This window comes from Homo sapiens, chromosome 3 (genome assembly GCF_000001405.40).
Source record: "Homo sapiens chromosome 3, GRCh38.p14 Primary Assembly".
Lineage (NCBI taxonomy): Eukaryota > Metazoa > Chordata > Mammalia > Primates > Hominidae > Homo > Homo sapiens.
This window is the reverse complement of record NC_000003.12, coordinates 134,666,311-134,684,478: the sequence shown is the minus strand read 5'-3', so window position 1 is coordinate 134,684,478 and position 18,168 is coordinate 134,666,311. Positions and strand designations below refer to the sequence as shown.

General features: G+C 44.6%; 1 protein-coding gene across 2 annotated transcripts in view; it reads right to left on the bottom strand.

Annotated features, from left to right (window-relative positions):
* Window positions 1-18,168, bottom strand: part of CEP63 (centrosomal protein 63) — a 296,836-nt gene that overhangs the window by 98,081 nt on the left and 180,587 nt on the right. Inside the window, exon 15 of one of the 2 annotated variants that reach the window (XR_007095733.1) lies at window positions 7,075-11,525. The exons of the other annotated variant lie outside the window; for it this stretch is intronic. The gene's annotated coding sequence lies outside the window, so the exon portion shown is untranslated. Of the gene's footprint in view, window positions 1-7,074; window positions 11,526-18,168 lie in introns of those variants that run through there. 2 annotated transcript variants of the gene reach the window in all.

Sequence of the window (18,168 nt, the reverse complement as noted above, 5' to 3'; positions counted from 1 at the left end):
AAAGGTTCTCTTGAGATAGCTAGGCGAAAGTCAAAAGAGACAGTGGAAGAAGACAAAAGATTAAGGAAGGAGCCTGTGCTTAAGCAAGAAATACATGTCCCCATGTGGAATTATTTGACCAGAGAACCATAGAAAAGATGGAAAGGAAGACTTTATCTGGGCGGCATGATCTCAGCGGAAAAGAAGGAACGTTGAAATAGAGAGATAGTTCCCTGCAGTTGGAACCATACACTCAGCCCAGAACAGCTTAGTCCCCTCCTTAGTCAGGGAAAAGTTCTTTATCCTCAACCCAAAAGATGTTCTCAACTCTTCCTCACAGCCTCAGTCAACACTACATCTCTTTCCATTGCAAAAGCCAAAGAAGAACAAAAAAGTCTTAGGACCATTTGCTCTCATGAAACCTTGTAGTACACATCTGTGGTTTTACCTCCCAGGCATCCACTTCTCCTGGGATTGTTACTATGCACCCCATTTTTCCCTGGGGTCTATGATTTACAGTGGGCCTGACCCCACCCAGATCCACAGGTGAGCATGTGGCTGGGGTCTAACCCATGAGAATACCACATCTCACCACTAACAGTGCTTACTTCAAGAGTGGGCAGGTGACCCCAACCCAGTCAATGGAAGCTAATGAAATGGAACTGGTAGAGGTGGGAAGGGGGAGGATCTTTTGTCTGCTAAACCTATAAAGATGGGAACCATCTCAGAGCAGCTAGGGCCATTTTGGTGGCTTGTGAGAAGAACTTGCTGGAAAAGGAAGCAAACATGGAAAGAAGCAAGCAGAATGAGAGGCAGACTGAGTCCTGATTACATCATTCAAACCCCATGTCTGAAACAAGTGTCCTGGAGTTTTCATTTACATGAATGAGGAATATAGTCTTGATTTTTGACTTAACCACTGTAGATGGTTTTTCTATCACTAGTAACTGATGGAGTTTATGTTGATAACAAATCTCAACCTTAGAGAAGAATGATGTCCCTTATTACTTAGTTCTTGGCCCTTTATAAAATACTTAAATCATTCCTAATGTACACCAAATCATGCTGTTTGACCTTGAACAAGTCACATCCAGGTCCTTTTCAGTAAAATGAGGATGTTGGACCCAATCTCCTAGGTCCCTTCCAGCTCTGAAGTTGTATACTTCTATGAATAGTCTCTTAGCAACCTTCACACTCACAGAATTAGATACAAAACTATTTTCTTCAAGATCATGGATTCAAAACATTAAAATATAACTTTACAAAGTTTAATCATGTGTCAGATGATGAAAACCATGCAAGGCCTCTTTGCTTTAGCAAAGCATATAATGGCATTCATGGTGCAGATATGTCATTTGCTAATTTCTTCTGGTGCCTAAAAACTTCCATTCCCACTTCCAATGGGTAAAGCCCAGTGGTAGCTGCAGCTAGTCTATCTCATCATTTCCACAAACTCTTTCAGAGGTAGGGGAGGCATAACAGTTCAATAATCTTCAGAAAAAGTTTAAAAGCAGAACTGTGGTTGCTTTGTTCATAGAATCTAGGGTCCCTACTAAACGCCCTTTAATGACACTCTGTCACTCAAGACTCCAAGTCTGATGCTTGCCCACAAGTTCCCATCCATTCTCCCATTCCTGCTGCCTTGAGCATGATAGGTGCATCACTTAATTTATTTGTGCCTCAGTTTCTTTAGCAGTAAAATGAGGATAATAGTACCTTCCTCTGAGTAGTGGTGTGAGCACTGAATGAGTAAAGCACTCAAAATAGTGCCGAGCATGGAGTAAGCATGGGACGAATGCCAGCTCTCATCTTCATCAGTAACATTCCTAATAGACTCCTCAATGCAGGCTGAATGGTTGCTTGTGTGGGTGGATGAACAAATGGATTAAAGCAGAAAGTATTCAAAAATATTTCATATCCCACAGGTTATACTTATTAATAATAGTGTTCCAGAGATACAGAAGTAGCGATTCAGAAAGAACAAATCACACAGCGGGCTCCCCCTCCTGCATTCCTGCCCATTCCCTAGTCCCCAACAAATTCCTTCTTTTAGAGCTTTTGCTATTGGCTTACAGGGCCCTAGGAACTAGGATGTCTAGTTAATGATTTGCAACTCTTAGTAATTTGCTCTTCTTGGTAACCGATGTGAACATCTCTCAGTACGATTGCAGACTCATTTCTCAATTATATTTGTTTTAGCTAAAAAGGTACCCAGAGTGACTGGATAACCCCAGAAGTCAATCCTCCAGGGCACTCAGAAGTAACAGGCTTTAGGAACTAATTCTCCTGACCCGCTCCTAAATGAAACCAATTGATGGCTCAGAAAGACCATTTATCAGGTGTAATGGGAGATACATTAGACCAGAGCCCCAGTTCATGGCATTGCTCAAAGAACTCCCTCCCAGAGGCTTAGCCACTCAGAAAACTCACCCTCTGAGCTCTCAAATGGTTGCTCTCTGCCTGCAGAACTAGAATAAGGGGAGCTGGGTGATCCAGAGGCACAAACTCTTCAGATGGCTTGCAGAGTGTAACTAGAGCAGCCAAGGGGGCCAGCGGGGCTGGGTTGCTGCTCCAGCAAGATTTGTTTGTTAGCTGGTTGACTTTGGGCACATTTTTAACTTCTCTGAGCCTCAGTTTCTTCAAATATTATAAGATGGGGCAGTGATACTCACATCATAGAGTGGTTGTGAGGACCGCATGAGATCATCCACGTGAAATGCCTGCCACAACAACAAATGGCAACATCTGTTTTGTTTTGAACTTCTTTCCTCCTCTTGGAAGTGTTTCTGTGTTAGGAGCTGGCACCAGCCCCTGGATCTACTCGCTCTTTCCCGCCCCCATGCCTCCGCAGGAATGGATAAACTCCAAACAGTTTTCATACTAAACCCCTTTTGCCAGGCTCCTCCATCTCCTGCCATAGCTTCACAGTAGTCCTTCCACTAACAAACAGTCGAGCAGGCTCTGGTTTAACCTTCACTGTATTTTACTACCAATCACAGCTTCTTAACATGCTAGGTCAACATGACCACACATTGCATGTGGGTTCAGGGCCTCATAGACTGCACGATGCCTCCTTATGGGCCTCCTGGAGCACCATGTACCCTGAGATTATGATTCTCTGCCTTAATTGACCTTCAGCAGCTCTTGTCCTTCCTGTCTGTGCTTGGGCCAGGCTCCTGTGGGCCACGTGTTCACAGATCGTCTCTGAAGGTGCCAGGCAACCGTCCCTCACTTCACAGTTTACAATATGCCACCGAGTAAAGTGACATGTTCCCACCTGAATAGCCACAGAAGGCTAATTCCACCACCCCCCGACCCCCAGCTCTCTTTTCATGGTGTCTGCTTTCCTGGCTCTCTCCTCAAAATCAGAGGACCCCTTATAGGAACAGGGCCCTGTGAGGGGTCTGCCCCTCCCCCTTGGCTCTCCCCAGCCCTTGAACCTTGTCCTGCTCCGAGGCCTGCCTGGGGTGTTCAGAGGCTCCTGTCCCGAGTGCCACCTGTCTTGTGGCTTCACTAACAAGTGCCACTGTCCTGCAAAGCTCCTCTGGGCTCAGCTGCCAGGGCAGGAGGCAAGAATTAAGACACCACAGTTGAAAGATATCAGGCTTCAGAAGCAAGTTCTAAACAGACTTGAATAGCAGAAAGTTTCAAAGGCCCTCGTTGAAGTCCTTGTAAAACTGCTACCCGCTCCATCAGCTGGCAGTTCCAGGCTCTTTCAGATCTCTTTGAGCTCTCTTCTTTTCGAGCCACTAGCTCGATAAGGAACTATCTTGCAAAGGAAACAAAGAGCCTTTTGTATTTAAGTTTTTCAATAGGAAGAGGTTGGTGGGGGCTTTAGACTTCCCCAAACTAAAACCTGTATGCTTCAAGCATCACTAAGCCAGATATTTTACACCCTCTTCCATCAGAGAATGGTTGGAAGAGATCTTAAAGTCATATGTCTTGACTTGAAGTTGAGGAAACTGAGGCTCAGTAAAGTCTACTTATTGCCCCAGACCCCTCGGGGAGTGATGGGCCCAGCTGGATGTGCACATGGTTGTACAGAATTCTTGCCTCATCAATGTGCTTCACAGCGCACAGTCTCCTCAATGGCTGTTTCAATCAAGAGTTACAGGCCCCTTTCCCCAATGGCCTTTGTTTTGGTGAACTTAACAGTGGTCATAAGACTAGGACTATTTAAAAACTGAACATAAGTGAATGGTCACAGGATTAAACCGAGTTTAAAATGTATGTGTGTATGAGTTTGCTAGGGCTGCCAGTATCACAGGCTGAGTGGCTTCAAGAACAGAAATTTGTTTTCTCATAGCTCTGGAGGCTAAAAGTCCAAGATCAAGACGTTGGTGGGGTGGGTTTCTCCAGAAGCCTCTCGCCTTGGCTTGCACATGGCTGTCTTCTCCCTGTGTCTTCACATGATCTTCCTTCTGTGTGTGTGTGTGTCTGTGTCTTAATCTCCTTTTATTATAAGAACACCAGTTGGCCAGGTATGGTGGCTCACACTTGTAATCCCCAGCACTTTGAGAGGCCAAGGCAGGTGGCTGGCATGAGCCCAGGAGTTCCAAGACCAGCCTGGGCAACATGGCAACACCTCGTGTCTACAAAAAATACAAAAATTAGCTGGATGTGGTGGCGCACTCCTGTAGTCCCAGCTACTCTGGAGGCTGAGGTGGGAGGATAGCTTGAGCCTGGGAGGCAGAGGTTGCAGTGAGCCGAGGTTGCACCACTGCACTCCAGCCTGGGTAACAGAGCCAGACTCTGTCTCAAAAACAAACAAACAAAATTGCCAGTCATGTTGGATTAGAGCCCACCCTGATGACTTCATTTTAACTTAATTAGATCTTTAAAGACCATATCTCCAAATACAGTCAAGTCTGAGGTACTGGAGGTTAAGACTACAACATATGAAATTGCAGGGAGATACAAGCCAGTCCATAATAGTTTATATGTTCTTAAAGAGAAAAACCTAATTAACTTGGTGAAGTAAGAGTGTGGTAAGAAGCCCTCCATGCTGTTCTGCAGTGAGATGTGCTGCTGGACTGCTCCCGAGACTCCTAAGGACTGCTTCTGCCACCCACTGCCTGCATGATGCTCCACTGCAGCTCTGCTCTGTGGCCAGATATTGTTCAGATGCTTACATCAAGCAAGGAATATGCACAAGTATTAGAAGTGGACGAACCTGGGTCCAAATGAGCCGTGGGGCCTTGAGCAAGTTACTTAGTGTCATTAATATTCAGTTTTCTCTTCAATAAAATGGGTTTAACCTGTCTTGAGCACTGCACAGGAAAATATAGAAGATTAAATAAGATAAAGCAAATAAATGGCAGCATTATATAAACTATAATTATATCAAATAAATGAAAAATATTAAAATATATGTTTCTTTTTCCTTTTGAGTAAACTACCATCCTCCAACAAAAAAGATGACATTTCCAAAAGCATGGATGTCAATGGTGATATCTCTTAACACCCAGTATACAATGGGTCTATACATCACCAGCTTTCTTTGTCAGGCTACAAGACAATTTGTACTGAGACCTGAATGAGCTCTGGGGGAACTATTCTTTGTTACAATGAATGTCATATGTTAGGGGCCCATTTGCACTGTGCCAGCAAGCTCAGGGCCTCAGCTGGGTCTTGAACCAGGTGGAGAAGGTGATCAGCCACTAACATTCCAAGTGGAGGGGGTGCATGAGCAGAAGTCAGCATGGGATGCAGGCAGAGCTGTAGCAGCAGCACAGTGAGGTGGGTATGGGTCAAGTCCCTAGAGCTAGGCTTGAATCTAGCTGCACTACCTTGGGTAAGTTGCTTAGCCTCCTTGTGCCTTGGTATCCTCATCTGTAAAATGAGGACACTTATAGAACCCACTTCATAAGTGTTGAGGGATTTAAATGAGTTAATATATAAAGAGGTTTTGGAGCAGTACCTGAAACACAGTGAGTGGCTGGAGAGTGTTAGCTGTTATGGTTCACTCCAGCATTCATTAAACACTCATTGAGCAGCTGGTGAGGGCTGGGCATTACACTAGGCACCAGGAACATGCACAGCCTTTCCTTCCAGAAGCACACAGCATAGATGTGAAGCCTATTTAAACAATGTAATAGACTCATAGAGACAAGTCCAGAGGGTTGTGGAAACCAGAGGAAGAGCACATGACCTGGCCTGGGTGGGGGTACAGAGAGGATGGACTTGGAGTGGGGTGTCCAGAAAAGTATTTCCAAGAAGTTGTCACCTGGCCCAGTCTTAAGGGAAATAGGAATGTGTCAGGAAGGAGCGGAGGGCAGGAGAGCAACACATCACAGAGAGAAACAGGGCAGCATGTTCCCTGTGGCTACCAACAAGCAGCTCTGGGCTGGAGGAGCACAGCATGAGCAGAGGCAGCGGGAGGGCATCTGAGAAGCAGGTGGGAGCCCAGCACCAGGTGGCCCAGGTGCCCTGCCAAAGGCTTGCACTTGAACCCCTGTGGGTTTGAGCAGGGAGTGGCATACTGAGATTTGTGTTTTAAAATCAAGTGCAAGAAGGGGAACTGGAGGGGAGAAGACTGGAGACAAAGAGACCAGCAAGCAGACTGGCACAGAGGGTGGTAGTGATAGGGACGTGGAGAGAGAAAGCATGCCAGGAATACTTGGGACACGGCGTGACTTGGTGACTGCATGACTATGTGAAGGGAAGGAGAGGGAGGAGGAATGTTGCCAGCATGAGTGACTGCGTCCATGGGGGTGCTTCCAAACAAGTGGGGAACAGGGGAGGGCTAATCTGAATCTCAGGCAAGGGATTCAGTCATGAGGAATGGAGCTCAAAGTCCTGAGCATGGAGGCAGCAGCCCAGGGAGAAGGAGGAGAAGATGAGAGCAGTTAGGGTTAACCCTCACCCTAACCCTAGCCCTAGCCAGAGTCAGTGAGGCACAAATGTCCAGGAATGAGCAGAGAAATCAGGGGCCATCGAGGAAGCTGAGGAGCAAGGTCAAAGGGAAGCCCAGAGAACTCAGAGCTCCCCCAGATGGAGGTAGGTGGGCACCAACCCTGTGGGACAAGCACAAGAGGACCATGAAGGTGCACCTGCTGCATGTGGCCACAGGGGAGCAGTAGAGTGCCCGCGCAGTGTGGGGCAGGACCCAGAAGAAGAGGGTTCAGAGGTAAACACATGGAAACGGAAACAGCAAGTGTGGATGACCACTCTTTGGGAGATTTGAGTGAAATGAGGAAGAGAAAAGGGTGCGAAGTAAAGTCAAGGGAGAACTTTTTTTTGAGATGGAGTCTCTCTCTGTTGCCCAGGCTGGAGTGCAATGGCGCCATCTGCGCTCACTGCAACCTCCGCCTGCCGGGTTCAAGCAATTCTCCTGCCGGGTTCAAGCAATTCTCCTGCCTCAGCTTCCTCAGTAGCTGGGATTACAGGCACGCACCACCACGCCCAGCTAATTTTTTTGGTATTTTTAATAGAGACGGGGTTTCACCATGTTGGTCAGGCTGGTCTCAAACTCCTGACTTCGTGAACCACCTGCCTCGGCCTCCCAAAGTGCTGGGATTACAGGCGTGAACCACTGCACCTGGCCGGGAGAACTATTTTTCTAGTGGAAGAAGCATGAGCGAGGAGCCAATACGTGGAGATGGAAATGCAGAAGGAAACAGCGTTGCCCAGAGGAAGGCACAGGACATGTCTGCCAGGCTAGGTTCCTCTGGGGGTAAGCGATAGAAAATCCGACCCACCCCAACCTAGGAAGCAGGGAATGTGTTGGCTCACATAACTGACACATTCCAAGGTAGTCTGACTTCTGGCACAACTGATTATAGGGGCTCAAGTGATATCATGGGATCCTGTTTCTCCTTCTCCATCTCCTGTCCTCAATTCCTCACTGTTGACCCCGTTCTCAGACAGACTCACTTTTAATATTCTCTTTTTAAAAATTGAGATGCGGTTCACATACCATAAAATTCACCCTTACAATTTGTTTTTCTTTACAATCACTATTTGTTATATTAACAAGTTTGTGTAACTATCACCACTGTCTAACTTCAGAACATTTTTGTCACCTCCCAGAAAACCTGCACACATTGACAGTCACTCCGCCATTTTTCCCTACCCCAAACCCCTGGCAACCAGAATCTACTTTTTATCTCTTTGAACTTGCCCATTCTGTACATTTCATACAAATGGAGTCATATGATATGTCATCTTTTGTGATTGGTTCTTTTCACACAGCATGATTTTTTTCAAGGTTCATCCATGTTGTGGCATGTATCACTGCTCCATTCTTCTCCATGCCTAAATATATTCCATTGTATGGGTATACCATAGCTTGTTTATTCATTCATCAGTTGATGGGCATCTAGGTTGTTTCCACTTTAAAGCTGTTAAGAATAATGCTGCTATTTACGTATACATTTTAGGGTGAACTTACATTTTCAATTCTCTTGGGTATATACCTAGGAGCAGAATTGCTGAGTAATACATTTTCACTTCTCTTGGGTGTATACCTAGGAGTGGAATTGCTGAGTAGTACATATGGTAACTGTGTTACAATTTTTGAGGAACAGCCAGAAGCACTCCAATGTGGCTGTATCATTTTACATTCCCACCAGCAATGTTTGAGGGATCAAATTTCTCTGCATCTTTGCCAACACTTGTTATCATCTATCTTTTTTATTACGTATACCTTTTCAGTGGTCATGAAGTGATACCTCATTGTGATTTTAATTTGCATTTTCCTAATGACTAATGATGCTGAGAATCTTTTCATGTGCTTACCGGTCATTAGTATACCATCTTTGGAGAAATGTATATTCAAAGCCTTTGGCCATTATTTAATCAGATTGTCTTTTAGTATTGAGTTGTATTAGTTGTTTATATAGTGTAGATATGAGTCATTGATGAGGCATATGACTTTAAAATATTTTCTTCCATTCTGTGAGTGAACTTTTCACTTTCTTGATAGTGTCCTTTGCAGCACAAACACATTTTGTTTTTAGAAAGTCCAATTCATTTATTTTTTATTTGATTGCTCATGCTTTTTTGTGTTATATCTGGGAAATGGTTGTTTATCCAAGATCATGAAGATTTACACCTATGTTTTCTTCTAAGAGTTTTATAGTTTTAACTTTTACATTTAAGTCTATCATACATTTTCAGTTAATGTTTGTTATGGTATGAGACAGTTGTTCAACTTCATTTTTTTTCCATGTGGATATCCAGTTGTCTCAGAATCGTCTGTTGAAAATATTACTCTTTCCCTGTTTGTCTTGACACCCTTGTTTAAAATCAATTGACCATAGATGTATGGGTTTATTTCTGGACTCTTGATTCTATTCCATTTATCTATCTGTCTATTCATATGCCAGACTACACAGTATTGGTTACTGAAGTTTTGTGGTAAGTTTTGAACTGTAAAGTATGAGTTCTCCAATTGTGTTGTTTTTCATTGTTTTGGCTGTTCTGGGTCCCTTACATTTCCATATGAATTTTATGCTCAGCATTTTCCAGTTTCTACAATAAAAGGCAGCTGGTTTTGATTGGGATTGTGTTGAATCTGTAGATCAGTTTGGGGATCTTAATATGAAATCTTTCAATCCATGAATATAGAATGTTTTTCATTTTTAAAGGCCTTTTCTTTTGAAGATCTTTTGAAGTATCAAGCCTTGTACTTCTTCTGTTGAATATATTCTTAAGTATTTTATTCATTTTGATGCCATTGTGAATGGAACTACTTTCTTGATTTCATTCTTGGAATGTTCACTGCTAAGGTAAAGAAAAATGATTAATTTTTATATATTGATCTTGTTTCCTGCTACCTTATTAAACTCATTAGATTTAATGATTTTTCATGGATTCCTTGGGATTTTTATTATATAAGATCATATCATCTTCAATTAGTTCTGCTTCTTGCTTTCCAATTTGGATGCCTTTTGTTTCTTTTTCTTGTTTAATTTCCCTGAAAAGAACCTTCTTAAAGTAGCAATGGTAAGAGCAGATATGCATGTCCTGTTCCAAATGTTAGGGGGAAGGCTTTCAGTCTTTTACCATTAAGTTTATGTTGGCTGTGTGATATTCATGGATTTTTTTCATCAAATTAAAAAAGTTCCCTTATATTCCTAGTTTGTCGAGTGTTTTTAATATGAAATAATGTTAGATTTTGTCAAATGCTTTTTCCTAACAGTTAAGATGATCATGTGGTTTTTGTCCTTATTCTATTAATATGGTATATTTCAGTTGTTGCTTTTCTTATGTTGAGCCAACCTTGCATTCCTAGAATAAATCCCACTTCTTCATGATGTATTATCTTTTTATATGTTCCCAGATTTGGTTTGCCTATATTTTGTTGATGACAGACTCACTTCTTGACACTATGAGATGACTTTCTACAGCTGGAAGTTTGTGTTCTGTAGGAAAGACAGTACACCTCACCCCAACAGTACACTAAAAGTCAGGGTCAGGTTCTCATTGATCCAAATTGGTTCATGTGCACAACCACAAGCTAATCACTGTGTCCAATGGAATGAATTTTGCTGATTAGTTTAGACATGGACCTGGACATAGGATTAACCTCAGGAAAACCTGGGATCAGAGTAAGAGATGGTGGGCCCCCAAATAAACCTTGGGGCTCTGTTTTACCGGAAGAGTGATTGATAGACCACAGGTAGCAAAAATACGGGTGCTCACCACAGAATGTGGCCAATGAGCCCAGATTTGGGGTTGTCCTGCAGAAGGGAGAGAATGGTGTGCCTGTGCATAAGTCTGTAGGTGGTCTGCAGGAGTAGTAGGAGATGAGGTCATCTGCTGGTGGAGGGGATGGGGAAGGGATTAAATTGAGGACTCAGAAGGAAAGGGATGAAGGTTTCAGGTGTTCCAGAGAAGAATGGAGATGAGACAATCCAGGGTACACAAAAGGACAAAGGGCAGCACCAAGGGCCCAGCTGCTACTGGAGGTCCTGACCCTCAGGGCGGGCCATGTTCTGTTCTCCAGGCTGGCTGCCACACTGAGCCAGGGTTGATGTTTTGTCAGGCGTGTGTGGCAGAAGGAGGGATATGAGAGAATCCTGGGAGGTAGTGAGAGAGCCATTTTGATGGACCACTGAAGGCACCACGCATTGCAGGGAAGGAAGAGAGGCCAAAAGGAGCTGATGGCCAGGGAGGAGGGTGGGACTTCAGGACTGGAGGTCTCCAGGAAGTCCAATGGCTTCTATATGAGGCCATGAGACAGTTGGAGGGGGGACGTCAGGTTGTGGTTGGAGAAGATCTCAGAGAGGAGGTAGTTCTAGGACAGGATGAGTGAAAAGCACTGGAGTTAACAGAGGTCAGGGGTTCTGGGACGAGGTTCTTGATGGATGGTGGTATCTCCTTAATGATTACAGTCTTTAGGTATGAACAAAGGCACAAAATTTACTCCTGAAGACCTGATGAAGAGTAAAAGAGAATGTGATCCACCTCATTCAGGGCAGTTGAATCCTGGAGTTTTCACGGAGGGGTGGAAGTACTATGAAGGGTGGGAGAGCTCAGGCTTGATGCTAAGACCACCCATGCAGGGCCTTACAGGTCCTACCAAGGATTGGAGCTTCATCCTATAAGTAAAGGGAAACTATTGAAACAACGTAAGCCAGGACATGACATGATTAGAGCTGCATTGCTAAACACTCACTCTGCTGTGCTGTGGAGCGAGATGGGGAGGGAGCTACCACATGGTCCAGGCAATGGTTGATGGAGGCTTGGGCTGGGGCAAGGGGCCAGGTATCCAACACATAATTGGAGCTGAAGCCAGAAGACAGAATGAGTACGTAGAGAGCCAGGACAGAAGGGACCAACAGTAAGAGGAAGACAAGAGCCAGCATGGAGAGAAGGCAAGGGAGAGATTGGGAAGAGAAGCCATTTATGACGAAACTGGGAGCCCCCGGAATGAGAGTGTTCAAGAAAGAGGTGCAAAATCAGCTGCCTTTTGCCAGATTTCTGATTATTTGCCTTTCCCCCTTTTTCAGAGGCATAATTATAAAAGCTACAGAATATCTAATTAGGAAGAAAATAAACCAGAATCATGACAATTTTGAATTTAGCAACCATATTCTCCTTGGCCTTATTTTCAAGTCATAAATATCACTGAATCTAAGCTAGCAAAATGTTTCTTGGTAGTTGTTTTTAGGCTCAGACCCAGAAGTAACAATGGTCACAATAACCAGTTAACATTTTCTGACAGCTTACTAAGTGCTGAGGTCTGTGCTAAGCACTTTATATGTGAAATCTCATTTATTCCTCAGAATAACCTAACGAGGCAGATGCTACTATTATTACTCATTTTTAGCTGCAAGAAAAAACTCAGAGAGGTGACACATGAACACATGGCAGTGACTGGGTGATAGTATGAATTCAATCTGACTCTGGTGGCCAATGATATAATCAGTGTACCCCATTTTTTACAGATGGGGTTTGGCGGTCCTTGGAGAGGTAGGAGAGTCATTTTTGAAATTGGTTTCAACACTCCACCCTACACACTTGTTGAGGTATTACTTGACAACCATCTATCACTGCAGGTTTCTGGAGGACAGCTCTGGCCAGCCCAGGTCCTCACCCTCACTGTGTGTGACTCACTGCTCCCCACCTACATCCACACACATTGCCTCCCTTGGCTCACAGCAACCCATTTCACAGATGAGAAAACAGCTCAGTTGGTGGACATCGCCACCAACTAAAATGTCCCAAAAGCCATGAGAGTCAGGGCAAGGGCTCAAACCCTTTTTCTGATTTTTCATTCATTCAGGCCACCCCCACCACTCTGCCACCCCTGTGTAGAAAGCATTTGTTCACTGTACCCAGCAGCAGACACTCCTGCAGCTTTTTGTTTAAACACTTCCTTAAAAGCAGGACTCTGGATTTTCCTATGTCTTTGCACATTTATTATTTTCCTTATGAAATGTTTCAAGCATACAGAAAAGTACAGTTGGTAATATCACAAATACCCACATGCTCGCCACTGGAAGTGAACAAAGGTCAACATTTTTCTTCTATGTTTGCTTCAGATTTTCTTTTAATTTTATTTCATTTTAGATAAGGCATACATGTGCACATTTGTTACATGGGTATATTGCAGTACTGGTGGGGATTGAACTTCTAATGCACCCATTACCCAAATAATGAACATCGTACCCAATAGGTGATCATTCAACCCTCAGCCCGCTTCCACCCTGCCCTCTTTTGGAGGCCCCAGTGTCTATTGTTCCCCTCTTTATGTCCATGTGTGCCATTGTTTAGCTCCCACTTATAAGTGAGAATATGCAGTATTTGCTTTTCTGTTTCTGAGTTAGATCGCGTAGGATAATGGACTCCAGCTGCATCCATGTTGCTGCAAAGGACATGATTTCATTCTTTTTTATGGCTGTGTAGTCAGATCTTTTTTAAAAAGTAAATATGACACATGTATTGATGATCTCTATGAATCCCTCTCCAATGCCTTCTTCTCCCTTCCGCCCCAGAGGAAACACTATTCTGAAGTTGTGGTGCATTCTATTCATTTTTTAGACTTTTACCACAAATGTATGTATCTGTAGACAATATATATTGTTTTGCATGTTTTAAAACTATAGCTAAATGATGTCATACTATAATATCCTTCTAACTGTAGTTAATTCATTCAGTTTTGTGTTGTAGATGTTCATCCACACGTTTCCATGTAGATCTAGTGCATTGTAACTGCTCTACAGTATACAGTATGGGAGGACTCCATGATTTATACAATACCTCCTGCCATAGACATTTCCCCATTTTTAAGCTTTATGAACTCTGCTGTGATAAGCAACCATGTACATGATCTGACCTGGTTCATGAGGTATACACTTTTCAGTTTTATCAGATGTTGCCAAATAGCTCTCCAAAATTACGGTAACAGTTTATATTCAGTTTCTAAGTAGTCCATTCATCCACAGCCAGCCATGGTGTCATCAGACTTCACTGTCCTGCTAATGTGAGAGTTAGGAATTTACCATTTATTCTCAACAGCATCATCTCTTGTTCCATGGCTGGCTGACTCCATAAGGAACTTCCTTGCAATGATGGGACACTGCCTTATTTTCTCCATTGATCCCCACTCTGTTCTCTTCACACTGGAGGCTCTGACTATGACCATCTAAGATTCCCCCAGAGCATTTCCTCAAGTGTTTTCATCAAATCAGGGACCCCCATAGCTAGCAACTCTTTTTTTAACAAAATTTAAATTTTATATGCAAAGGGACTGTGTGTGGTTTGGGGAAGAGTGTGTTCATATTGGAGGCAAATAGCTTGTAAAACTTTCTGTGAAAATAGCTCAGAGAGCCTCAAAAATCATATTTGATTTGGATTATTATCTTAATTTAGGCTGCTATAGTAAATTATTATTGATCGGCATATAAACAACAGAAATTTATTTCTCATAGTTCTAGAGGCTGAAAGTCTGAGATCAGGGTCCCAGCATGGTGGGGTTCTGATGAGGGCCCTCTTCCAGGTTGCTGTAGACTTTTCACCATAACCTCTCATTGCAGAAAGGGCAAGGGAGCTCTCAGGGTCTCTTTTAAAAGGGCACTAATCCCATTCAGAAGGGCTCTGTCCTTATGACCCAATCACTTCCCAAAGGCTCCATCTCCAAATATCATCACATTGGGGATTAGGTTTCAACATATGAATTTTGAGGGGATATAAACATTCAGTCTATAGCAATAATCTAGTTGGTAACCATTAAAACCTTTTCTTGTGCACAGAAATTATTTGCCATACCCCAGATTCCATCTTTTTAACATGTACTGGCTCTATTTTTATTTAAAATCTTGATTCAATTAACCAGACACTTTAGTCCTACAGAAACCATGGAGCTAAAGAGCTTTGTCATCACTGAAATCACCATTAGCCTCCTCAATAAGTAAAATAAACTGAGTCACAGTTCTCATGGGGTAGCACTGGTGTTGTGCAAAATATTTAATGATCCACACCATGCGGAAGCTGATCAATCAGAATTGATAGTACCTGGGGCAGCCTGGGGCAGCCATACTATGCCAACCAGCTGAAAAGCAACTTGGGCCCAAGACCCCCCTCCTCATTACTGCACTGCCAGACTTCTGGATTACGTGGGCCACAAGTATCAGGGCGGAGGGAGTGGGTAGAGGATGAAGGCAGGACATCACCCCAACACAGTATCTGACCAGAACCCCAAGAACAGGCTCACAAAGAGTAGGGCCAGGTGTGGTGGCTCACGCCTGTAATCTCAGCACCTTTGGAGGCCGAGGTGGGCAGATCACTTGAGCCTAGGAGTTTAAAATCAGCCAGCAACATGGCAAAACCCTCTCTCTACAAAAAACATTTAAAAAATTAAGCCGCGTGTAGGGGCACATGCCTGCAGTCCCAGCTACTCGAGAGGCTGAGGTGAGATGATTGTTTGAGCCCAGGAGGTCAAGGCTGCCGTGAGCAGTGACCACCATGCCACTGAATTCCAGCCAGGCTCAGGTAACAGAGTAAGACCCTGTCTCAAAAAAAAAAGGAAGAAGAAGGAAGCATACTGCCCTAAATACATGGTCTGTGCTCCTTAGACCGCACCAGTCAGCTTCCCTTTCATTGCTTGCTAATTTGAAAATTGAGGGTCTCTGAAATATAAGACGAGTTCTTTGAGGGTTGGGGTTGGGAGTGAAGGTGGTGGAGGTAGTGGAGGTGGCAGAGATGGACATGGTGGTCTTTGATGGAAATGTGACAATAAGATATGCTTTATTAAGAAACCAATCCAAGGGAAAAATGGAAAGTGAAAAATGGAAATGTGGAAATCTACAAGATGTGAGTGGTAGTCAACCTGAAGAACCATAGAGTTCAGTTAAAAGAAAAAATATAAGTGATTTTATCATGAGGGTGAACTGGACACCACTCAGACAGAAAGTGACTTAGAAGATACTGAAAATCTGCTTTGCTAAAAGCAGCTCCATGATATGTTCTTGGCTTGTCTTGATGGTCAAGGAAGTGATTACTTTATAATGCCACCTCCTAGTTCTGCTCTCCACTCTAGGTGGGCTCAATTCCTGGGGGCTAAGGGCTGCTGGCAAGCTCCCCTCCTGAGCAGCTCACACCTGGACAGCCTTTCTCTATCCTCAGCTTCCTCTTCAGGCCGAGGTAGACAGCTTGGCAGATAAGAAGTTCTCATGACCATAGGCTTCATGGCTTCCTCCCTCCCTGACCTGGCCAGGGTTGCACAAGAAACAGTAGGTCAGAGAGACTCAAGAGTTCTCCAAGTGCAGACTTGGGTTTACACAGTTCTACAGGCAGCCAACTCCTCCTTCCAGGGCAGCATCACAGTGTAGCCCCCAGACCAACCCAGACTGGTCCACACTTCCAGTTCCAAGTATTTCCATCAGTAGGATTTTAGCAGAGACCTGAGGTCTGATGTGAGGCGGTTCCTGCAAGTCTGTCCTCAGTCAGAACCCCAATGCTGGTCGGAGCATGAGGCATGCTGGCCACCACACCTGGAGCCAAGGAGTCCCCTCCCAGGACGTGTCACCAGGGCAGATACATCTGGAGGCAGACCTGTGAGTGTTCCATTGACCCTGTTGTTTCCCTGTTATCAAGTCTATATATCTTTTAATACAATTTGAACTTGACCAAACTGATTTATATTTGTTGCCTACTTTGCTCTGTATCATCTTACTCACCAATAAAAGATGCCCTCCTGTATCATACCCAGTTGATGATCCCCAGCAGAGCTGCTTGGCTCTCTTTGCCCCGGGGTCTTGGTCACCTACCCAGAAGAGAACCTGGCCACTGGCTTCCTCACTTTAACTCCCAACAGACCAGCCATCTCTGCCTTCTCAAGGGGTGAGGGCTGGGCATGGCACAGCCACCATCATGCCCACCACTGTGGGAGCGGCCACAGCTGAACACCCAGTCAGTGTGTCTCATGGCTGCCCAAGCAACAACCTAGAAGTGCAGGGAAATTAATGTCTTCCCCCGGGTGAACTTTCACCAGTGCCAGTTAAGAGATGAGAAGGAGGGGATAAATTCCTTGTCCTTTCACCCATGCACACATACTGTTTTCATGATTCTTTTTCTGGAAACAACCCAGGTGCCCAAAGAAAGAAGCTTTGTTCTGAAGACTGTGACCAACTCAGTAATGCACCCCCTGAATTTGCCTCTCCCGCCACCACCTCACAGCATTCCCCTCAAGCTTGCTGCCCTGAAATTTCACCCCCACCCTTCCTCTCCTGTAAAATGTTAGCATGGAAATTTACCTTAGGCTCTGTTTTGTTAGAGTACCTGGAAAGATAGCCACTTAAAATCATCTCACTCACTTCCAGTGCTTTATGTAACAACATTAGTCGGGGGGAAGTGAGCTGGAAGATGACTGCCGAGGTCTGGGCCAGCGGTATGAAGGTTGAATCTGGGAAGAGGCATACCATGGAAAAAGATGGTGATGAATGAGAGCTGTTGTGGATCTGGCACTGGTAGCCTCGGACACCGATTGGATGGGGAGGACGCGGGGGAGGAGCCCAGAGCTGAGTTTGGGATCTCAGCCTGAGAGGCAATAGAGTCATTAAAAGACACAGGGGACAGGGGATGTTGGGAGTGAGCATGGGCTTTCCGGTAAAACAGACCCAGATTCTAGTGCAGGCTGTGCCACTGACTCGCTTTGTGACCTTGGGTGTGTTACTTGCCATCGCTAGACCTCATTTCTTCATCCCTAAGGTGGCATCAATGAGGATCCCTCATCTATTTAAGAGAATGAAATGAACTGATAGGACAGAGCCTGGCACGTAGCAGAGCTGGATAAATGAATGAGTCATGTGTCTTTTTTGCCTTGGCCCGGCCACAGAGACTCCTCCAACAGTGCAGAGTGGCTGGGACTGAGTCATGACCTCCGAGGTGCCTCCCAGGCTGCCCTTCCAGGGGTTGATGAAGGGCCTCCACCCCTTCCTGGGGGATTGTTAGCTGGTGAAGCAAAAGGTATAGGAAGCCTCCAGCAACTGTGGAGAAAGTACCCTCAGAGCACCTCGTGCCCTGGCTCCTGCCTGCCCCCTGCCCACTCAGGGGCTCCACAGTCTGGGGAGAGATGAGAGGGAGATGGGGGACCAATGCTTGGCATATCCTGGTGCAGCATTTCTCATTGTGATTGGTACAATCCCTACGAAAGACTTTTTTGGGAACAGGTTAGAAATACAGATTTCTCGTCTCCCCGACCTGTGAATCAGACTCTGGGTTGGTCCCAGGCACCTGCAT